The following is a 25452-nucleotide window of genomic DNA, read 5'->3' as shown; positions in this document are numbered from 1 at the left end:
CTTCCAAATGGGTCATAAAAGGATGATAAAGCTGCAAACCCAAAGAAACTAATTATTCACTACTTGAAAGGATGAAGTGAATTTTGAGCTTTATGAATGCAAACTAATAATAAGTATCGTGGATAGTAATTATGCTTACAATTTTAATTAGTGAATGCTGTTGTAAATTATAAGGCTGTGTCTACATTAGAAACAAAAAACACGGAACTCTAAACCTGCAACAAACCTGAGTGTACATAGACTGAGATTCTAAGGGACTTTTAAGATGAAAAATTCACATGGTTTCAGATAAAACTCACACAGGTCATCCTGAAAGTCACTGTTGGTCGATGGTCATTAGCACTATAGTTTGTAACATAATAAGAAGAGGTGGGAGTAATGTTTCTCTTCTGGTAAAAAACATTGGCAATTACATATGCCAGGAAACCCGACTGATTTGAGTTGTAATGCACAGATCGCTAGCGATGCAGAAAAAAAGTCAAACAATGCCATGTGAAGTGTACTCTCTAGACCCAATTAGATCAATCTTTCCCAAATTACTTAGTACATGATTGGAAAGAGAGCAGCTGTATTTTCAATCCATCATCCCATCCACCTATCTCAAATTTGCCTGGGTTAATTCTTTTGACCCACCAGTTATATCAAGTAACATATGTTTTTCCCTCAATTGATCAACTAACAAAATCGATGAGAATTTTTATAGTCACATAGTTATGGAGACAAATTCTCAGATGAACATACTTTGAGCAGGGGTGGGATTAGGAGGTACGGAGGGGCAAGGGTTAATGCTGACAGCTGTTACCAAAGCCTCTTTTCAAGTCCCCGCTTTACTGAAGTTTGTTCTATCTTACATGCATCACACATCAGAAATTGGTGTTTTGGGGCACAGGCACAGTGGCTCATGCCTGTGATCCCAACACTTTGGGAGGTCAAGGCTGGTGAATCACTTGAGGTCAGGAGTTCGAGACCAGCCTGGCCAACATGGTGATACTCCATCTGTACCAAAAATACAAAAAAATTTAGCCGGGCATGGTGGCAGGCACTTGAAATCCCAGCTACTCGGGAGGCTGAGACAGGAAAATTGCCTGAACCCAGGAGGCAGAGATTGCAGTGGGCCAAGATCACGCCACTGCAACCCAGCCTGGATGACAGAGCAGGACTCTGTCTCAAAAACAAAGAAATGGGCGTTTTTCATAAAAATTAAAAGCAAATTTCTAAGACTTGATTCACAGAGAAATCCTATTAGATTGTTCCCTATGCAGGACTATGCAAGAGTTAAACAATACACGGCCATTTCAAATGTCTCATTAACCTCAAAAAATATTTCAACTGCAGCCCAACGAACACCTCAAAATTGCTTATAGTTCAATTCTGCTTCCTAATTCTCTTCTGTGGCAGGTGCTAGGTCTTTCCCTGTGGCTCCCCTGCCTCTTAGGTTGAACTCAACCCCAAATGCCTTCTCATTCCTTTAGCATTTTACTTCCCAGCCTATACTTAAAGCACTTGCTCTCTGGTATTCCAAGACAATATTTTGAGTAATTCTTTTTAAAATGCATGACCATCTCTAGAGCTCATCAAGTTTAATATTGACTTTCACATTGAGTAAGTCAATCATAAGGCATGTTTGTAGGATCCTTAGAACTATCTCACTTCCCTACACATTTCTCCCCTGACTCCCACTGGCCTGCATTACTATACCAAAATCTACCAAACTACATTTATTTAAATACTCCTGTGGAAGGCAACCAAAGCAAAAGTGGACAAATGGGATTGCATCAAGTTAAAAGCTTCTGCACAGCAAAGTAAACAATCCACAAAGTGAAGACACAATCCACATGATGGGAGAAAATATTTGTAAGCTATGCATCTGACAAGAGATTAATAACCAGAATATACAAGGAGCTCAAACAACTCTACAGGAAACAATCTAATAATCCGATTTTAAAATAGGTAAAATATCTGAATAGACATTTCTCAAAGGAAGACATACAAATGGCAAACAGGTATATGAAAAGGTGCTCAACACCACTGATCATCAGAGAAATGCATATCAAAACTACAATGAGATGTCATCTCACCCCAGTTAAAATAGATTGTATCCAAATGACAAGCAATAATGAATGCTGGCAAGGATGTAGAGAAAAGGGAACCTTCATACACAGTTGGTAGGAATGTAAATTAGTACAGCCACTATGAAGAATAGTATGGAGGTCCTCAAAAAAACTAAAGATAGAATTATTATATGATCCAGCAGTCCTACTACTGGGTATTTATCCAAAGGAAGTTAAATCAGTATGTTCAGAGACATCTACACTCCTGTGTTTATTGCTGCACTATTTTTTATCCTTACTTGTGATTTTTACTCCCTAAAATAGACGTGTATTACTTTTGGTAGAAGATAGAACTTTTAAGAACTAGACTTAGATTAGATATTTTTTATCTATTCAATTAGCAAAGATTAAAACTACTTATATGGTTCAGCATTAATGAAGGCATGGAGAAATTAAGATATCTCCATACATTCTTGGGAGGAGTATAAATTGGTATAAAATACCTACTAGACAATTTAGCAATATCTTTAAAATTTTTGAATATATTATCTTTGATGCAATAAATCTCCTTTTGGGAAGTTATCCAATAGAAACATTTCCACAGGAATGCAACAATATTTATATAAAGACAGAGAGAGATTTGTTTCAAAAGCTGTTACTTTGAAAAAGCAGGAAACAATATAAATAATTACCCAAAGGGCATTATTATTAAATAAACTATGGTCCAGACATACAGTGGAAAACCATGCAGAAAATTTAATTTTCTGTATGCACTGATGCATATGTGCAATTTCTGTATGCATCAGTGACATGGAAAGATGCTCACATGAAAAAGCAGAGAATAGAATGACAATAGCAAGTATAGTAGGATTCCCTTTATGTAGATACGTTTGTATTTGTACATATATGAAATCACAGGAATTCTGAAAGGATACACACTAAAATCTTAACAGTGTTTAATTTCTGAAAAAAATAGAATTGGCATTGATAAGAGGGCCTTTTGCACTTTTTATTTTATTAATTTTTGTATCATTTGAATTATTCAAAACAAGCAAGTAACTATTTTTATTAATTTTGTGATACATTTATTTTGGATAAAACTGTTTTAAAGACTAGCTGTATATGTGCTCATAGTCACTTTTCCATATTTTCTTCTAAATTTCCCCCAGAAAAACTTAAGATCTGGCTAATTTCAAATATGACCACCACCCTTAGCTTTTCTTTCTTTTCGGATGAACATGGAGAAAGCAGGCTAAAATATGGACCTGTAGACAGCATGAAGTTAGGATTGTGAAAGAGTTATCTTGGATTCATATTTTGACACTCAGAAACCTTGCAAATGCTTGATCTCCTCTCTTCTAACAAAAGGTCTCAGCAGTAGACCAGCCTCGGGATCTCAAAGGCTGAGTGGTTGGTGCTGGCTCAGCCCTGTCCCCACCGGCCACTGCCATCTCGACATTGCCATCTGACATCAGAGCTACAGGCGTGCCTCCCTCCACACAGCACAGATTCATTTTGACAAACTAGTTTGGGGTGGCTTGGACAGTGCAGGAACAGTAGTTTCTGGTGAGTGATATCATTAGTTCAGGAGGCCAGGGTGCAGCAGCAGCAGCAGCCCCCCATTTCCATCCCAGCTGCCCACCCTATACCCACACACATACACCCCGTTACTTGGCCCACAATCTTCCCTCCTAACATCTTCAACTTAGTCTGTACACAATTTCCAAGTAATAACTGTGTGCTCAAGTGTGACCTCTCATTATCACACCTGTTCCACTTATTCATTCACTCTGCAAATACTATCGTCTGTTTTTTGCCAAACATCATGTATCAAAAATGTGACAAAATAAAAAGCCTTTTTATAAGTCTCAAGTATCCACAAAATAACACTACAATTCTTGCTCTTCCTTCAGACAACCTCTTGCATGAACCACTTCAGAAAGAGAAATATATCATCACAATCCCTGGCCAGGAATCCTGACTCAAGAACATAACCTCAAAGCAGGGTCTCTACCATGGCAATTCTCAAAATTAATACAAATCAGAATCATGAGCGAGTTTGTTTTTAAAAAGAAATGCAGATCATCAGGTCCCAAAGAGTCTGGCTGTTTGGGAAGGAATCCAGAAATTGCATTTTTAAACATTCAGTGATTCTAAAATGAGTGAATATTTTGAGAAACATTGGTCTCCTACTTAGGCCAATCTAGTTCAGGAAATGCCTGGCAATACTTGTTAATACCTGGGAAACCATACATTTCCTCCCACCCTATTATGTTCCTGATTATTTTTCTCACCTGAACTACCAGTATTCATTTCCAAGAGTCTCACACCTTACCTTCTGCTGATTTGTACACATTCATTCAAGAAGCACTCCTTAAACCTTTCCTCTGACAATAGCATTCATTTATAGTAATTCAGATATTTTGCATCTTTCTATGAACCTTCAGTGGCCCTAAACTTGGCCTCTTGTACCTTTTTTATTTTCATACATTAAAAAAAAATTGATGTAGCTTTGCTCATTCCATCCCCTCATCACCTGGAAGGAAAAAAAGCTCAAGCACTTCTAGTTAGAAACATAAAAATGTAATAAATATTTTGGCTCAAGGCATGAAAAGTATGAGTGTTACCTTGCTCAGCAGGCTGCCTGGCCAAAGTGTTGAGATGTCTGCAATTTGGTTGATATTACTCAATACCAAAGAGAAGGCAAAGTGTGTTCTCTGCTCTCTCCTTGCCCTCTTGTTTCTCAGAACATGCTGCTGAGCTGTTTATCAGCTTCCACTGTCCTTCCCAGCCTCCCCCACCATGGAGGGCTAACCACAAATGATGGCAGCCAATCATGGGCCAGGAGACCCCAGCTCCAGCTGCCACCTGGCTCTTTAGGAAGCTTAGCTCAGGGGGGCCTGAGTGTAGAACCATGTGCGAGAGTTTGCTGGGGCACTGGCTGCCAGTTCCCTCCCTGAGAATGTTTGGGTTGGAAATGGTCTTGTCAGTCAGTATAAGCCCCAGCTTTTGCCAGGGTTCTATATCTCTGTGCCTCAGTTCCACATCTGTAAAAAGGAAAGGCTAGTAGTATATACCTCAAAGAGTCAATAATGTTATACAATGACAGTTATTATAGGAAAATACTTGAAACGATGTCTGCCTCTTTGTAGATGTTCATCAGATATTAACAACACTATGGAATTTTTTTATTATTATCTTGAAATGTTATCCAAACAATCTCAGAACCTTTCAACCTGGTCAAATCTTGCTGAGGAAGGTTGATGCTCCTTGTAACTACTGTAAGTTTAAACATTACTCGAGTATGGACATCAACAGACCTGGATTTAAATCTTGACTCAGGCCTTTGATTCATTACTTAAACTTTAGGAACTTCAATCTCATCACCTGCAACCTAAGATTAATAATATTAGTCCCCATTATTGAGAGCAATGGGCTAGGCTTGTAAGTGTTTTATGTGTCATTTAATTTTCACAACAGTCATACGCATTTGATAATATTATGTCTAAAAAGAAGCAACAGAAGTTCAGAGCAATGGAGTGACTTGCCCATGGTCACACAGCCACTACTTAGTGAAGGTGGGGTGGAATTCCAAAGCTCATGTTCCTAATCACTCCATTATACCATGAAAGGAGAATAATGAAAGCCACTTTGTAGTAATAGTCTAAGGATAATTCAAGAATGAATAGGTGTATACACACCTCTGTCTCTGTTTCAAAACCCCTTTATAATTCTCAGACCAGCTTTATCCCCAAAGTCTTTCTGTGTTCAGCTAATAAGTGAGAGATTCCTTGCTTGTCTGATTCTCAGCAAAAACTGTCAAGGAGGCAGGTGCAAGGATTTCACTGTTCTGTGCTGCCCTCATTCGACGCTCCTCTTACATCTCCCACTCTTTCGCATTTGGACCTACTTAACCACACAACAGCCCTGGGGCCACAGCTGCTCACTAAAGACAAGGCAGAAGCCACTGCAGTAACACTGGGAGAGAGGAGAAACTGGTCTGTGGCTTCTAGGAGCTTCAGTGTGTTTTTCCCCAAGGAGATGCAGCCTTTACCTGAGGGTCATATTTGAGGCAACATGGCGAGAAAGGCAGGTGAGAGCTAAGAATTTCCTGAAGACAGTGTTCATGTTCAACAGGTGGCCCTGAGCCCTCCTTACACAATGAGGTCAAGTAGAGAGGAGTCATAACATGACTTACATGCAAGAGGGTGTCCTTCCCCCCCCATCCTCCTGCTCCTTAAAATCTTGCATCTCCAATGGACTTACAGGAAGAAAAAGAAAAGGCCAGATGTTCATGCTTCCCCTTGAAGGAAAGAGCAAAATAATAATATCCCACAGTATTAGAACAAAGCAGCAAGTTCAAGGATCAGGCTTCAGTTCTGTAGGTTCACTTGGAAGTTATGTAAAACTAAAGTGACAAAATGCACTGGTTTGTTTTGGACTTTCCTTGGTTTAGCACCGAGAGTCTACGGTGAACAGAGTTGGTTGGTTGCCCATAACCTCCAAAGCAGAGTTAGAAAATTTCTCTGAGGTCAATAATTTATAAATGGAATCCTTTTCAATTTTTCTTGGAAAAGTAAGCTGGTCAAATGGACTCATCAAAGAATGGTGAAGGTGTGAGGTTCAGACCAGATAAGGGAGGAGCTTTCTCTCTCTCTCTCTCTCTCTTCAAATCATATTTAACATAGATTTCTGTATTGCTCAATTTTTCATCAGTCATGTATACTTTTATAATTAGGAAAAATCACAATATTTACAAATAAAGTACTTAATGAATTTTAAATGAGACATAACAAAATATTGGGTGCCTATGAAGATACAGTTTTCTAATTGCTCTGTTTGATAAAAGTCTGGATTTGTATACATCACCAGTATTTCCATGTTTCTCCCAATTTCACCTCCCAATTTCTCCCATCCGTGTTGAAATCAAGTCACTTGTCTCCTATTGAGAAGTAAGACCTCCCTTGGATCACCTGGAAAAAACAAGTTAAATAATGGCCCATTGTCCCTCTGGACACTAACATTTTATCCACTGTCTTTATTTCAAATCTTTTCCACATGACAAGCAAACCTTAACTTGCATCATGAAATAGCAAAGACAGAGCTGCCTAGGATCCATGTTGTTCCAAGCAAATTAAAAATAAAACACTGCTGACATGTATTGGCCAATTGTTGCAAGAGACAAAGAACGAAAAGGGTGAACTAGAGCCTGGACAACTTGATGCCAAGCTCCAGCCTTGAGCGCAGACCTCCCAGACTAGTGATTAGCTGTGGTTAGTCCTTGAAGTGCCGACAGGCCCTTCACTGGCCCTGCTCCTCCAGGCAATGTGCTCCCTGCATCCCTGCTTTCACCTGCCTCTCCATCCAAGCCCCAACCCCCCTGAGCAGGTTGCCTACACTTATTCCCCTTGGCTCCCAAAGGCCCTTTTAAGAGACCTTTTCAAATTCAATCTCTTCCCAGACAGCAATGAGTTCCAATTGCTGATAACAATCAAAATCTACTCCTGCAGCCATGGTCTGAGTGTGTGAACGCTGCATTTTGAGCTCTTATCATAATTCAGCAGATGCTGTTTACGGACATTGAGATTACATACATAAGCATGTATCTATACATCTCTAACTAGCAAAACTCTTGTCTTCTAACATCACCAATTTGAAAGCCAGAACTAGAAGGGAACTTAGAGGTTACTTGCCCCAACGCATGTGTTTTATTTATTTATTCCTGAAGGGCAAAGTGTTCCTGTTCAATGTCACAGAAGGGAATTAGTAGCAGAAATAGCATTACAAATCCGATCTCCCAGCTCCCAGGACAACGTTCTTTCCACTACACTGAAAAGGGAACATCCCTCCCTAACCCATCCAAGATGCATCTTAGACGGTAAAGAAACTCAAGCTGGCAATGGAGCAGAACCTTAACAGGTCGTCGCTAGATCGGAGCCCTGGGTGAGCATGCAAACTCGCCACCCTGCACTGGCGGCGGAGAGACAGCGTCTCCACACGCTCATTTCTCCCCCACTTTCTCTGTCTTAAAATTGTTTTCTAATTAACTCAATGTGAATTACCCCTGTTAGTAAAATTTCTAATGTGTTATTAATTGCTCTAAACGTCGGCTGCAGCTCACTCTCCATGCTTTCAGGAGATCTGCTGCGGGCTTTCTGATTTTAGCTACACTGTTTTCTAAGCAGCTAGTGCCACCGTGTGGGCAAAGAAAAGCCTATATTCTTGACTATCAGAAAAAGCCATGAGAAAAAGTCTCAGAAGTTGTTGAATCCATGAACTGGCTAAGAAGAAATCATGTATTTGCTTCTCTTCTCTTCCCTCTTCCCCTTATCCCAATCTCTATTCTCCCTACCCCCTCTTCCACCATCACTTACCTTTGTAGAAATCCCCCATAATTCCTATAGACTAGGAAACAGAGCCAAAAGCTTAAAAGGTCAAAGTAATTTGCACAAGACCCCACACTTCATTAACTCCAGTCTTCCACAAAGGTCAAGAGACAACACAGAACTCCATTCTCATTGTCTTGCTAATCCTGACCAGTCCCAGAAAATGTGTAATAAATGCCTTCTCCTTATTCCTCAAACAAGAGAAGATATGAGGACCATGTCTTCATGAGAAAATTTGAAGAGCTGAGAGTAAAGGCCGGTGTATAAGATTGCTAAATATCCTTTCTAATCAGGAGACATCTGTTCCATTTCCAAACCTTACAAAATAGTAAGGCATTGTTTTGCCTCCTCATCCTACTTACCTCCATAAGATCACAGATTGAGTTCAAACATTGACATAGGAGGAACATGACCTAAATTTCTCAGAGCTAATATACAGGTTTGGGGAATAAGCTTTCTCAACTCTACAGTAAACATAATGGCCTGAATGCCTAATTGCAGGATACCAATAAATGTCTTTACAAAAAGCCAAACTAGGCAACTGCCCAGTTTGCCTCAGTGAGGGCTCTCAAATTTCACAATATTTTTTTGAGGATAAGAAAGGGTTAGTTTTTAAGACAAAGGAGCTTTAGCTTTAATTTAATTTAATTATGTTTAAACTATAATAACTATGTGGCTTTGTTTTATATATAATGAGAACAATTGCTAAATTTTTCATAAATTTTAATTAAAAACTATATTCACTTTCAACTTATGAACAGTTAGTGCTTCTGGAGAGAGATGGAAAAGGAGCATCATTTTCTGATTATTTTTGTAAAAAAATCTGCTATGAGAGAGAGAGATTATTACAGGAATTGGCTCACACAATTATGGAGGTCAAGAAGTCCCACAATCTGCTGTCTTCAAGCTGGAGAACCAGGAAAATCCGTAGTGTAATTCAGTCCAAGCCCGAAGTCCTGAGATCCAGGAACACGGATGTCTGAGGGCAGGAGAAGATGGACATCCCAGCTTAGAGAGAGCAAATTAGCCCTTCCTCCACTTCTTTGTTCTATCTGGGCCTTAAACACATTAGGTGATGCCCATCCACATTGGTGAGGGTGGATCTTCTTTACTCAGTCTACTGACTTAAATGCTAATCTCTTCCAGAAGTATGAACACAGACATACCCAGAATCGTTTTAGTAGCTATATGGGTATCCCTTCGCCCAGTCAAGCTGACACATAAGATTAACCATCACAAGCCTTAAATGGGTTGATTAAGTTAAGATGGGGTCATTAGAGTGGGTTCTAATCCAATCTTACTGGTATCCTTATAAGAAAAGGAGATTTGGACATACACACAGAGACACCAGAAGTGTGTGTGTACAAATGAATGACCAGGTGAAGACACAGTAAGAAGGCAGTTGTCTGGAAGCCAAGGACAGAAGCCTCCCGAGAAATCACACCTGCCTTATGGGAATTGGATCACACAATTATGGAGATTGAGAAGTCCCACAATCTGCTGGCTTCAAGTTGGAGAACCAGGAAAACCACTGGTATAAATCAATAAATCAAACTTTGATCTTCTACTTCAAGCCTCCATACCATGAAAATATATATTTTCTTATGTTTAAGCTACCCAGTCCATGGCATTTTGTTATGGTAGCCCAAGCCAACTAGCACAGTGGAGATCAGGTCCCTTATCTTGGGCATTTCCTTCATCCACCCACCCAAGGAGGAAGAAGAAGAGGTCAAATTGGAAGATACTCATTGGGCTTCATTCTTAATGAGTGAGTATGGTTATCATGGCCATTATTATCCATCTAATGTTGAGCTGTGGTGTGGGGTACTGGTTAAAAACCCAGGTGTTGGAGTGCCGTAACATTGCTTTAAATTCTAGCCCCACCTCTTGCAACCTGTGTGATTTGGGGCACATTTCATAACCTCTCTGACTCCATTTTCTCATTTGAAGTTGAGAATAATAATATGAAGCTGGTAATGTTCTTGGCAGAATTAAGTGAGTTAAAACATTTGAGATGCTTTGCACACCGTTAAATACAATGTTATCTCAAGAACTCACAATCCTCCTCCAAAATCCACTCCTCTTACAGTCTTTCTCAGCTTGCTTAATGGCAACTCTACACTTCAAGGCAAACTCTTAGAATTATCTTTCATTTATCTCTTCCTCTAAATCCTCATGCCCAATCAGTCAACAAATTCTAATCTTGTTAAAACTATAAGTCAAATCACTTTACTTCTCTAATCAAAACCCTCCTATGGTTCCTATGGTTCCCCATCATGGTTAGAATAAAAGCCAAAGGCCTCTCAAGGGCCAACAGGGAACATGACTTTCCCTGCCTTTTCCATCTTTTCTCCCACTTACCCGCAGCCACAGTAGCCTCCTTGCTGGTCCTCAAAATGTCCGGATACGCTGACATTGGCCATTCTCTCTGCTTAAAATATTACCTTAGACACATTAGACACTGCTGTATAGTCAGGGGTCTTCAGAAAAACGGAGCCAATAAAATAGAGAGAGATGAGGAATTGGCTCACACAATTATGGAGGCTATCACACTCTGCCATCCACAAGCTAGAGACTAAGGAAAGTCAGTGTTATAGTTTCAGTACCAATCCAAAAGTCTGAAGAGCAAGAACAAGTCTTAGTCCAAGGCTAGGAAAATAATAATTTCCCAGCTCCAGCTTCAGCAATCAGGTAGAAAGAGAAAAAAATTTACCCTTCCTCCTCCTTTTTGTTCTATTTGGTTCTTCCATGAATTGCATGATGCCCACCTCATAGGGGAGGGCTTTACTCAGTCGAATAGTTTAAATGTTAATATCATTCAGAAAAACACTAACAGACACACCGAGGAATAATGTTTAGCCAAATATCTCAGCACTCTGTGATCCAGCCATATTGACACAAAAAAAAATTAATAAACAAATCTGGAGTAATTGGTAGGGCAGAAAGAGCTAACGAGATTGTGAATCAAGAGTGATGAAATTTGCATCAAAGGCTGAAGAGTAGGTCATCCAAAGACCTCACCTCATCCTCAGTTCCCTCTGTGGAATTCCAGGGAAAAGGAAGTTGTAGGAGACCATGCTCACCCATCTGCCTACAAGGCCTGGAGAACCAGGTACCTTGTACAGTGTGGAAAGGAAGGTGTAAAGAAGCCCCAAGAAAATCCATCTTTTCCTTCCTCAGCCCCACATTGTGCTCCAAGTGAATGAGCCATTTGGACTGCATCACCAGAGTACCCTCAACCTCCAGCTTCCAGTTTAATCCAGACATTGGGCAACACCATAAGTACCTGAGTATGGCAGGATGGAGACAGTATAATTGTGCCTAAGGAAGGTACATGGAAGATGTTGTCAACAAGATGGCTGCCTAGAAGTGTCAAAGCTCACCTCCTCCACAAAGAAGGACAAAACAACAAACAAATAACTACACTTTGAGTACAGCGTCTAACGCGGAACACTAGAATTCAGCAAGGAAGTGACGAAACCCTCTGAATCATGGAGATTCAAGATGGCAGTATAGAGAAGGAAATGAAGCACCCAGTCAAGATCAGCTCAGAGCCAAGAGGGATTCCCTATAGTGGGGAAAAGGGGGAAAGGTAGTCAGGAGATCCCTAGCAGTCCTCATTACCACTGCAGATGCCTGAAATCCTAGGTACAAAAGACCCCCACAGTCCCCACGGTCCTCACAGTCCCTAAGCCCAGTATACAAAAGCTGCCTGGAGTCCACACAGCTCCATTGCTCCAGAGTAGGAAATCATGCTGGGTTCTTCCCTCCCCAGGACCCAAGCTACTATGGAACTGCATCATGCTGAGAGCAGAGCCACCAATAAAGTGAATTCTGTTCTGGAAGCCAGTGTCCTGGCATATCCACATACCTGGAGCCCTGCCATCATTCCACCAGACAAAAGACTACAAAGCCAGGAATCCAAGACTCCATCTAGATTCAGTGGTTCAGCTGCAAACCCTGAACCTAAGCCCACACAGTGCCCTGCACCCCAAGAAACAGGTAGTGTAGAATAGGAAATAAACCTCCCCTAAGACCAGGGGCACTGCCATGCATGCCCCCATTACCCAAGGACTGATCACCCAATGCTTGCCACCACTGGCAATACTGTACTGATGACCAGCAGAGCTACCATGCCCAACACATACCCTACCAGGGCCTGAGAACCAGTCCACCTATCATTCCCCAACCCCAGCAAAGCCACATCACTGTCTCTACAAACACCATTGATATTGATTACAGCCAAAGAAATCACATTGATACTACACTACTGCAGCCACCGGTAACCAAATCCAAACCACTTTACCCAATCGACACTATAGGACAGACTCACACGAAAAAGTCTTTCTCTACAAAAGCTAGTCTGTAAAATTGGAAGAGGCAACTGCTCCAGCAGATGCACAGATGCTAATAAAGGAACACAAGAAACGTGAAAAAGCAGGGAAACATAACACCTCCAAAGGAATTCTCCTGTAACAGACCCTAAAGAAGAAAATCTATGAAATGCCTGAAAAGGAATTCAAAACAATGAGTATAAGAAAACTCAGCAAGATACAAGCAAATACAGATAGACAATTTAACAAAATCAGAAAAACAATTCAAGATCTTAGTGAGAAATTCAACAAAGAGACAGATACCATTAAAAAACAGAAATCTTGGAGGTGAAGAATTATATAAATTGAATAAAAAATATAATCAACAGCTTCAACAACAGACTAGATCAAGCAAAAGAAAGAACTTCTGAACTTGAAAACAAGTCTTTTGAAATAACCCAATCAGACAAAAAGAGAGAGCGAGAGTAAGAAAAATAAAAAAGAATGAAGAAAGCCTATGGACTTTATAAAATACCATTATGTGAACTAATGTTTAATTATGGGAGTTTGAGAAGAAGAGAGGGAAAAGGCAGAGAAACTCTAATAAAATATTAGCTGGAAACTTTTCAAGTCTTAGGAAATATGTACACATATGAATTCAAGAACCTCAAATGCCCGTAAACAGATTCAACTTCAAAAGATTCTCTCTGAAGCACTTTATAGTCAAACTGTCAAAATTCAAGGACAAAGAGAGAAGTGTAAAAACAGCAAGAGAGAAGTGTAAAAACAGCAAGAGAAGAGTGTCAACTCAAATATAAGGGAATCTTCATTATACTAACAGCATATTTATCAGCAGAAATCTTGTGGGCAAGGAAACAATGTGATAATATAGTCAAAGTGCTAAAAGAAAATAAAAAAAACTGTCAATCAAGAATACTACACCCAACAAAACTATCCCTCAGAAATGAAGGAGAAACAAAGTCTTTCCCAGAGAAGCAAAAAGGAAATTTATCACCACTAGACTGGTCTTACAAGAAATGATTAAGGGAGCCCTATATCTGAAAGCCAAAGGGCAATAACTACCATCAGGAGAACAAACAAAAGTATAGAACCCACTAGTAGAGCAGATACACAGATGCGAAAGAGAAAGTAACTAAAATTTGTCACCAAGCAAACCACACAAAGATAAACAGTAAGAGATAAAGAAACGAGGAAGAGAAATGCAAAACAACCAGAAAACAATAAAATGACAGAAGTAAGTCCTCACCTATCAATAATAACATTGAAAGTGAATGAATTAAGTTCCTCAATTAAGAGAGATAGACTGTTGAATGGACAAAAACAAACAGGACATAACCATGTGCTATCTACAAGAAACTCACTTCAACTACAAAGACACACATAGATGAAAAGTGAAAGGATGGAAAAAGATACTCCATGCAAATGGAAACCAAAAGTAAGCAGGAGTAACTACGCTTATATTAGATAAAATAGACTTTTAAATCCAAAACTGTAAAAACAGATGGCACCATTATATAATGATAAATGAATCAATTCAGTAAGAGGATACAACGATTGTGAATTTACATGCACCCAACACCAGAGAACTCAGATATGTAAAGCAAGTATTAGATCTAAAGGGAGAGACAGACTCCAATACAGTAATAGGTGGAAACACCAGCAGCCTACTGTATTAGCATTTAACAGATTATCAAAATAGAAAATCAACCAAAACTGGATTTAAACTGTAATACAGACCAAATGGACCTAACAGACACTTATAGAATGTTTTATCCAATACCTCCAGAATACACAACCTTCTCATCAGCACATGAAACATTCTCCAGGATAGATTATATGTTATGCCACAAAACAAGTCTCAACAAATTTTTTAAAACTGAAATCATATCAAGTATCTTTTCTGACCACAATGGAATAAAACTGGAAATTAGTCATAAGAGAAATTTGGAAACTAAAAATTTAAAATGTTATTGAAAGAAATGAAAATAGAAACACAATATACCAAAGCCTCTGGGCTTTGTAGGTATTTAATAAACATTAAGTGTTACATGGGAGTAATGAAAAGGTACCCTTCCCCTAAAAATATTGGAATTAAGTTCACCTCCTGAGACTTACACTATAAGATCAATATACTATAAAGTTTGATCCATAACAGATCAGAACAGACACATGAAAGGTCATATTAAAAAGACAAAATGCAGTGGTTTCCAACTTGAACAAAACTTGAGGATACATATTAAAATATGAAACAAAGATATTAACCAAAGTGAGAGGGTTCATTATTGTTACAGGTTGAATTGTATCCCCTTCCTGTAAATTCATATGTTGAATTTCTAACCACCAGTACCTCAGAATGTGACTGCATTTGAACTCTTTAAAGAAGTAATTAAGTTGAGGAGGAGCCAAGATGGCCGAATAGGAACAGCTCCGGTCTACAGCTCCCAGCGTGAGCGACGCAGAAGACGGGTGATTTCTGCATTTCCATCTGAGGTACCGGGTTCCTGTCACTAGGGAGTGCCAGACAGTGGGCGCAGGCCAGTGTGTGCGCGCACCGTGCGCGAGCCGAAGCAGGGCGAGGCATTGCCTCACCTGGGAAGCGCAAGGGGTCAGGGAGTTCCCTTTCCGAGTCAAAGAAAGGGGTGACGGACGCACCTGGAAAATCGGGTCACTCCCACCCGAATATTGCGCTTTTCAGACCGGCTTAAGAAACGGCGCACCACGAGACTATATCCCACACCTGGCTCAGAGGGTCCTACGCCCACGGAATCTCGCTGATTGCTAGCACAGCAGTCTGAGATCAAACTGCAAGGCGGCAACGAGGCTGGGGGAGGGGCGCCCGCCATTGCCCAGGCTTGCTTAGGTAAACAAAGCAGCCAGGAAGCTCGAACTGGGTGGAGCCCACCACAGCTCAAGGAGGCCTGCCTGCCTCTGTAGGCTCCACCTCTGGGGGCAGGGCACAGACAAACAAAAAGACAGCAGTAACCTCTGCAGACTTAAGTGTCCCTGTCTGACAGCTTTGAAGAGAGCAGTGGTTCTCCCAGCACGCAGCTGGAGATCTGAGAACGGGCAGACTGCCTCCTCAAGTGGGTCCCTGACCCCTGAACCCCGAGCAGCCTAACTGGGAGGCACCCCCCAGCAGGGGCACACTGACACCTCACACGGCAGGGTATTCCAACAGACCTGCAGCTGAGGGTCCTGTCTGTTAGAAGGAAAACTAACAACCAGAAAGGACATCTACACCGAAAACCCATCTGTACATCACCATCATCAAAGACCAAAAGTAGATAAAACCACAAAGATGGGGAAAAAACAGAACAGAAAAACTGGAAACTCTAAAACGCAGAGCGCCTCTCCTCCTCCAAAGGAACGCAGTTCCTCACCAGCAACAGAACAAAGCTGGATGGAGAATGATTTTGACGAGCTGAGAGAAGAAGGCTTCAGACGATCAAATTACTCTGAGCTATGGGAGGACATTCAAACCAAAGGCAAAGAAGTTGAAAACTTTGAAAAAAATTTAGAAGAATGTATAACTAGAATAACCAATACAGAGAAGTGCTTAAAGGAGCTGATGGAGCTGAAAACCAAGGCTCGAGAACTACGTGAAGAATGCAGAAGCCTCAGGAGCCGATGCGATCAACTGGAAGAAAGGGTATCAGCAATGGAAGATGAAATGAATGAAATGAAGCGAGAAGGGAAGTTTAGAGAAAAAAGAATAAAAAGAAATGAGCAAAGCCTCCAAGAAATATGGGACTATGTGAAAAGACCAAATCTACGTCTGATTGGTGTACCTGAAAGTGATGTGGAGAATGGAACCAAGTTGGAAAACACTCTGCAGGATATTATCCAGGAGAACTTCCCCAATCTAGCAAGGCAGGCCAACGTTCAGATTCAGGAAATACAGAGAACGCCACAAAGATACTCCTCGAGAAGAGCAACTCCAAGACACATAATTGTCAGATTCACCAAAGTTGAAATGAAGGAAAAAATGTTAAGGGCAGCCAGAGAGAAAGGTCGGGTTACCCTCAAAGGAAAGCCCATCAGACTAACAGCGGATCTCTCGGCAGAAACCCTACAAGCCAGAAGAGAGTGGGGGCCAATATTCAACATTCTTAAAGAAAAGAATTTTCAACCCAGAATTTCATATCCAGCCAAACTAAGCTTCATAAGTGAAGGAGAAATAAAATACTTTATAGACAAGCAAATGCTGAGAGATTTTGTCACCACCAGGCCTGCCCTAAAAGAGCTCCTGAAGGAAGCGCTAAACATGGAAAGGAACAACCGGTACCAGCCGCTGCAAAATCATGCCAAAATGTAAAGACCATCGAGACTAGGAAGAAACTGCATCAACTAATGAGCAAAATCACCAGCTAACATCATAATGACAGGATCAAATTCACACATAACAATATTAACTTTAAATATAAATGGACTAAATTCTGCAATTAAAAGACACAGACTGGCAAGTTGGATAAAGAGTCAAGACCCATCAGTGTGCTGTATTCAGGAAACCCATCTCACGTGCAGAGACACACATAGGCTCAAAATAAAAGGATGGAGGAAGATCTACCAAGCCAATGGAAAACAAAAAAAGGCAGGGGTTGCAATCCTAGTCTCTGATAAAACAGACTTTAAACCAACAAAGATCAAAAGAGACAAAGAAGGCCATTACATAATGGTAAAGGGATCAATTCAACAAGAGGAGCTAACTATCCTAAATATTTATGCACCCAATACAGGAGCACCCAGATTCATAAAGCAAGTCCTCAGTGACCTACAAAGAGACTTAGACTCCCACACATTAATAATGGGAGACTTTAACACCCCACTGTCAACATTAGACAGATCAACGAGACAGAAAGTCAACAAGGATACCCAGGAATTGAACTCAGCTCTGCACCAAGCAGACCTAATAGACATCTACAGAACTCTCCACCCCAAATCAACAGAATATACATTTTTTTCAGCACCACACCACACCTATTCCAAAATTGACCACATAGTTGGAAGTAAAGCTCTCCTCAGCAAATGTAAAAGAACAGAAATTATAACAAACTATCTCTCAGACCACACTGCAATCAAACTAGAACTCAGGATTAAGAATCTCACTCAAAGCCGCTCAACTACATGGAAACTGAACAACCTGCTCCTGAATGACTACTGGGTACATAACGAAATGAAGGCAGAAATAAAGATGTTCTTTGAAACCAACGAGAACAAAGACACCACATACCAGAATCTCTGGGACGCATTCAAAGCAGTGTGTAGAGGGAAATTTATAGCACTAAATGCCTACAAGAGAAAGCAGGAAAGATCCAAAATTGACACCCTAACATCACAATTAAAAGAACTAGAAAAGCAAGAGCAAACACATTCAAAAGCTAGCAGAAGGCAAGAAATAACTAAAATCAGAGCAGAACTGAAGGAAATAGAGACACAAAAAACCCTTCAAAAAATCAATGAATCCAGGAGCTGGTTTTTTGAAAGGATCAACAAAATTGATAGACCGCTAGCAAGACTAATAAAGAAAAAAAGAGAGAAGAATCAAATAGACACAATAAAAAATGATAAAGGGGATATCACCACCGATCCCACAGAAATACAAACTACCATCAGAGAATACTACAAACACCTCTACGCAAATAAACTAGAAAATCTAGAAGAAATGGATACATTCCTCGACACATACACTCTCCCAAGACTAAACCAGGAAGAAGTTGAATCTCTGAATAGACCAATAACAGGCTCTGAAATTGTGGCAATAATCAATAGTTTACCAACCAAAAAGAGTCCAGGACCAGATGGATTCACAGCCGAATTCTACCAGGGGTACAAGGAGGAACTGGTACCATTCCTTCTGAAACTATTCCAATCAATAGAAAAAGAGGGAATCCTCCCCAACTTATTTTATGAGGCCAGCATCATTCTGATACCAAAGCCGGGCAGAGACACAACCAAAAAAGAGAATTTTAGACCAATATCCTTGATGAACATTGATGCAAAAATCCTCAATAAAATACTGGCAAACCGAATCCAGCAGCACATCAAAAAGCTTATCCACCATGATCAAGTGGGCTTCATCCCTGGGATGCAAGGCTGGTTCAATATACGCAAATCAATAAATGTAATCCAGCATATAAACAGAGCCAAAGACAAAAACCACATGATTATCTCAATAGATGCAGAAAAAGCCTTTGACAAAATTCAACAACCCTTCATGCTAAAAACTCTCAATAAATTAGGTATTGATGGGACGTATTTCAAAATAATAAGAGCTATCTATGACAAACCCACAGCCAATATCATACTGAATGGGCAAAAACTGGAAGCATTCCCTTTGAAAACTGGCACAAGACAGGGATGCCCTCTCTCACCGCTCCTATTCAACATAGTGTTGGAAGTTCTGGCCAGGGCAATCAGGCAGGAGAAGGAAATAAAGGGTATTCAATTAGGAAAAGAGGAAGTCAAATTGTCCCTGTTTGCAGACGACATGATTGTTTATCTAGAAAACCCCATCGTCTCAGCCCAAAATCTCCTTAAGCTGATAAGCAACTTCAGCAAAGTCTCAGGATACAAAATCAATGTACAAAAATCACAAGCATTCTTATACACCAACAACAGACAAACAGAGAGCCAAATCATGGGTGAACTCCCATTCACAATTGCTTCAAAGAGAATAAAATACCTAGGAATCCAACTTACAAGAGATGTGAAGGACCTCTTCAAGGAGAACTACAAACCACTGCTCAAGGAAATAAAAGAGGACACAAACAAATGGAAGAACATTCCATGCTCATGGGTAGGAAGAATCAATATCGTGAAAATGGCCATACTGCCCAAGGTAATTTACAGATTCAATGCCATCCCCATCAAGCTACCAATGACTTTCTTCACAGAATTGGAAAAAACTACTTTAAAGTACATATGGAACCAAAAAAGAGCCCGCATCGCCAAGTCAATCCTAAGCCAAAAGAACAAAGCTGGAGGCATCACACTACCTGACTTCAAACTATACTACAAGGCTACAGTAACCAAAACAGCATGGTACTGGTACCAAAACAGAGATATAGATCAATGGAACAGAACAGAGCCCTCAGAAATAATGCCGCATATCTACAACTATCTGATCTTTGACAAACCTGAGAAAAACAAGCAATGGGGAAAGGATTCCCTATTTAATAAATGGTGCTGGGAAAACTGGCTAGCCATATGTAGAAAGCTGAAACTGGATCCCTTCCTTACACCTTATACAAAAATCAATTCAAGATGGATTAAAGATTTAAACGTTAAACCTAAAACCATAAAAACCCTAGAAGAAAACCTAGGCATTACCATTCAGGACATAGGCGTGGGCAAGGACTTCATGTCTGAAACACCAAAAGCAATGGCAACAAAAGACAAAATTGACAAATGGGATCTAATTAAACTAAAGAGCTTCTGCACAGCAAAAGAAACTACCATCAGAGTGAACAGGCAACCTACAACATGGGAGAAAATTTTCGCAACCTACTCATCTGACAAAGGGCTAATATCCAGAATCTACAATGAACTCAAACAAATTTACAAGAAAAAAACAAACAACCCCATCAAAAAGTGGGCGAAGGACATGAACAGACACTTCTCAAAAGAAGACATTTATGCAGCCAAAAAACACATGAAGAAATGCTCATCATCACTGGCCATCAGAGAAATGCAAATCAAAACCACTATGAGATATCATCTCACACCAGTTAGAATGGCAATCATTAAAAAGTCAGGAAACAACAGGTGCTGGAGAGGATGCGGAGAAATAGGAACACTTTTACACTGTTGGTGGGACTGTAAACTAGTTCAACCATTGTGGAAGTCAGTGTGGCGATTCCTCAGGGATCTAGAACTAGAAATACCATTTGACCCAGCCATCCCATTACTGGGTATATACCCAAATGAGTATAAATCATGCTGCTATAAAGACACATGCACACGTATGTTTATTGCGGCACTATTCACAATAGCAAAGACTTGGAACCAACCCAAATGTCCAACAATGATAGACTGGATTAAGAAAATGTGGCACATATACACCATGGAATACTATGCAGCCATAAAAAATGATGAGTTCATATCCTTTGTAGGGACATGGATGAAATTGGAAACCATCATTCTCAGTAAACTATCGCAAGAACAAAAAACAAACACCGCATATTCTCACTCATAGGTGGGAATTGAACAATGAGATCACATGGACACAGGAAGGGGAATATCACACTCTGGGGACTGTGGTGGGGTCAGGGGAGGGGGGAGGGATAGCATTGGGAGATATACCTAATGCTAGATGACACATTAGTGGGTGCAGTGCACCAGCATGGCACATGTATACATATGTAACTAACCTGCACAATGTGCACATGTACCCTAAAACTTAGAGTATAATAAAAAAAAAAAAAAAAAAGAAGTAATTAAGTTAAAATGAGGTCATTAGGTGAGCCCTAATTCAATATGACTGGTGATCTTAGAAAAAGAGATTAGAACACAGACACACACAGAGGGAAGACAATGTGAAAACAAAGAGAAAATATGACCATCTACAAGCCAAGGAGAGACCTCAGAGAAACCAATTCCACTAACACCTTAATCTCAAACTTCTAGCCTCCAAAATTGTGAGAAAATAAACGTTGGTTGTTTAAGCTACCTACTCTATGATACTTTGTTATGGTAGCCCTAGAAAACTAATATAGCCATTAGTGGAAACTTAGAAAATTATAATCAGAAAGACCTATGATACACACATACACATGCCAAAGGAAGGGAGTCATAAATCCAAAAACTGCCACTTTCTTATCATTGAGGCACATACAGCTAGAAGAATACCTAAAATTATCATTGTCTGAATTTACTGCACTTTTTAATCATCCAACTAAATCCTTTTGCTTTGACTGCATTCTCACTAAGCAACATTCTGACTACAATTTGATATTCTGTAGGAGAGTTGCTATCAGTTACTTTCCTATCTGTCCAATACTTTTGCCAACTGAGAACAACCTCCTCTTTCATAGTAAATCTGACGTTGCTATCAGTCATCTGGCCCTGCCTCCTTCACTGAACCAAGGCCAGCCAATCAAAAGTTCCCAATTCCTTAGATAAAGTGATGGATCCAGGGTTAGTCACATGACCCAAGTAGGCAGAGTACTTCTGTGGGATTGATATGAACAATAGAGAGAAAGGACACTTTTTTCTCTCTTAGTCTGTGATACCAAAGGATCTCATATGCTTGGAGCTGCCAAAGTCCATCATGCTATCTTATGAGAAAAACCTACATGAGAATTAAGTCCAACTAGGCAAGAGAAGGAAAAAGGCACTGAGAAAAGACTGATGACATCATTTAAACTCTTGGACACAGCTATGCCTGAAATAAACTCCAACTTCACAGGCTTCTCTGTAATAAGAGTCAAGCAATTCCATTTCCTGTTTAACCCAAGTTGAATTTGGGTCATCTAACCCTCAAAACCATAAGTCCTAACCAATATATGTGAAGATCTTTTCTTCTGCCATTGTGACTAGTCCTTAGAAGCTATGCCTTTCTAAAAATGTGGGGTCACCTCATAAGGAAAAGTTCAGGTCAATCCATGGTATGTTTGGAATTTTAGAGCCTCTTTGATGTTCTAAATAAGTCTCTTTTTTTCTCTTAGGGTAGGTCAAATTTGGATTCCTGATTAAAGCAATTAACTGACCATCTTTTGATTTGGTATACAATTCTTAACTGGAAAACCAAAAACCTTTTTTTATTATTATTATACTTTTAAGTTCTGGGATACATGTGCAGGACATCCAAGTTTGTTACATAGGTATACACTTGCCATGGTGGTTTGCTGCACCCATCAAGCCATCATCTGCATTAGGTATTTCTCCTAATGCTATCCCTCCCCAGCTCCCCAGTCCCCAGCAGGCTCCATTATGTGATGTTCCCCTCCCTGTGTCCATGTGTTCTCATTGTTCAACTCCCACTTATGAGTGAGAACATGTAGTGTTTGGTTTGCATTCCTGTGTTAGTTTGCTGAGAATGATGGTTTCCAGCTTTATCTATGTTTCTGCAAATGACATGAACTCATCCTTTTCTGTGGCTGCATAGTATTCTATGGTGTATATGTGCCACATTTTCTTTATCCAGTCTATCATTGATGGGCTTTTGGGTTGGTTCCAAGTCTTTGCTATTGTGTACAGTGCTGCAATAAACATACATGTGCATGTGTCTTTACAGTAGCATGATTTATAAATCCTTTGGGCATATACTCAGTAATGAGATTGCTGGGTCAAATGGTATTTCTGGTTCTGGATCCTTGAGGAATCACCACACTGTCTTCCACAACAGTTGAACTAATTTACACTCCCACCAACCATGTAAAAGAGTTCCTATTCTCCACATCCTCTCCAGCATCTGTTGTTTCCTGACGTTTTAATGATCGCCATTCTAACTGGTGTGAGATGGTATCTTATTGTGGTTTTCATTTGCATTTCTCTAATGACAGTGATGATGAGCTTTTGTTTGTTGGCTGCATAAATGTCTTCTTTTGAGAAATGTCTGTTCATATCCTTCGCCCACTTTTTGATAGGGTTGTTTGTATTTTTCTTTTAAAGTTGTTTAAGTTCCTTGTAGCTTCTGGATATTTGCCCTTTGTCAGATAGATAGATTGCAAACATTTTCTCCCATTCCATAGGTTGCCTGTTCACTCTGATGATAGTTTCTTTTGCTGTGCAGAAGCTCTCTAGTTTAATTAGATCCCATTTGTCAATTTTGGCTTTTGTTGCCATTGCTTTTGGTGTTTTAGTCATGAAGTCTTTGCCCATGCCTATATCCTGAATGGTATTGCCTAGGTTTTCTTCTAGGGTTTTTATGGTTTTAGGTCTTACATTTAAGCCTTTAATCCATCTTGAGTTAATTTTTGTATAAGGTGTAAGGAAGGGGTCCAGTTTCAGTTTTCTGCATATGGCTAGCCAGTTTTTCTGACATCATTTATTAAATAGGGAATCCTTTCCCCATTGCTTGTTTTTGTCAGGTTTGTCAAAGATCAGATGGTTGCAGATCTGTGGCGTTATTTCTAATGCTTCCGTTTGGTTCCATGGGTCTATATACCTGTTTTGGTACCAGTACCATGCTGTTTTGGTTCCTGTAGCCTTGTAGTATAGTTTGAAGTCAGGTAGGGTGATGCCTCCAGCTTTGTTCTTTTTGCTTAGAATTGTCTTGACCATATGGGCTCTTTTTTGGTTCCATATGAAATTTAAAGTAGTTTTTTCCAATTCTGTGAAGAAAGTCATTGGTAGCTTGATGGGGATAGCATTGAATCTATAAATTATTTTGGGCTGTATGGCCATTTTCACAATATTGATTCTTCCTATCCATGAGCATGGAATGTTTTGCCATTTGTTTGTGTCCTCTTTTATTTCCTTGAGCAGTGGTTTGTAGTTCTCCTTGAAGAGGTCCTTCACATCTCTTGTAAGTTGGATTCCTAGGTATTTTATTTTTTTTGTAGCAATTGTGAATGGGAGTTCACTCATGATTTGGCTCTCTGTTTGTCTATTATTGCTGTATAGGAATGCTTGTGATTTTTGCACATTGATTTTTGTATCCCGAGACTTTGCTGAAGTTGCTTATCAGCTTAAGGAGATTTGGGCTGAGACGGAGTTTTCTAAATGTACAATCATGTCATCTGCAAACAGAGACAATTTGACTTCCTCTCTTCCCATCTGAATACGCTTTATTTCTTTCTCTTGCCTGATTGCCTTGGCCAGAACTTCCAATACTATGTTGAATAGGAGTGGTGAGGGAGGGCATCCTTGTCTTGTGCCAGTTTTCAAAGGAAATGCTTCTAGCTTTTGTCCATTCAGTATGATATTGGCTCTGAGTTTGTCATAAATAGCTCTTATTACTTTGAGATACATTCCATCAATACCTAGTTTATTGAGAGTTTTTAGCATGAAGGGGTGTTGAATTTTATGAAGGCCTTTTCTGCATCTATTGATATAATCATGTAGTTTTTGTCGTTGGTTCTGTTTATGTGAGGGATTACGTTTATTGATTTGCGTATGTTGAACCAGCATTGCATCCCAGGGATGAAGCTGACTTGATCATGGTGAATAAGCTTTTTGATGTGCTGCTGTATTAGGTTTGCCAGTATTTTACTGAGGATTTTCACATCGATGTTCATCAGGGGTATTGGCCTGAAATTTTCTTTTTTTGTTGAGTCTCTGTCAGGTTTTGGTATCAGAATGATGCTAGCCTCATAAAATGAGTTAGGGGGGATTCCCTCTTTTTCTATTGTTTGGAATAGTTTCAGAAGGAATGACACCAGCTCCTCTTTGTACCTCTGGTAGAATTTGGCTGTGAATCCATCTGGTCCTGGACTTTTTTTGGTTGGTAGGCTATAAATTACTGCCTCAATTTCAGAATTTGTTATTGGTCTACTCAGGGATTTGGCTTCTTCCTGGTTTAGTCTTGGGAGGGTATATGTGTCCATGAATTTATCCATTTCTTCTAGATTTTCTAGTTTATTTGCATAGAGGTGTTTATAGTATTCTCTGATGGTAGTTGTATTTCTGTGGGATCAGTGGTGATATCCACTTTATCATTTTTTATTGTGTCTATTTGATTCTTCTCTCTTTCCTTCTTTATTAGTCTGGCTAGCAGTCTATCCATTTTGTTGATCTTTT

At 39.9% G+C, this 25452-nt stretch overlaps 1 protein-coding gene across 8 annotated transcripts in view; it reads right to left on the bottom strand.

Annotated features, from left to right (window-relative positions):
- The window catches only part of RAG1 (recombination activating 1), a 69410-nt gene that overhangs the window by 6962 nt on the left and 36996 nt on the right, over window positions 1-25452 (bottom strand). For 3 of the 8 annotated variants that reach the window (NM_001377277.1, NM_001377278.1, NM_001377279.1), the window contains one exon: window positions 9303-9416. The exons of 3 other annotated variants lie outside the window; for them this stretch is intronic. The gene's annotated coding sequence lies outside the window, so the exon portion shown is untranslated. Of the gene's footprint in view, window positions 1-4678; window positions 4795-9302; window positions 9417-10798; window positions 11972-25452 lie in introns of those variants that run through there. 2 more of the 8 variants (XM_047427384.1, NM_000448.3) reach the window with 2 other exon arrangements.

Source organism: Homo sapiens, chromosome 11 (genome assembly GCF_000001405.40).
Source record: "Homo sapiens chromosome 11, GRCh38.p14 Primary Assembly".
Classification (NCBI taxonomy): Eukaryota; Metazoa; Chordata; class Mammalia; order Primates; family Hominidae; genus Homo; species Homo sapiens.
This window is presented reverse-complemented; position numbering and strand designations above follow the sequence as displayed.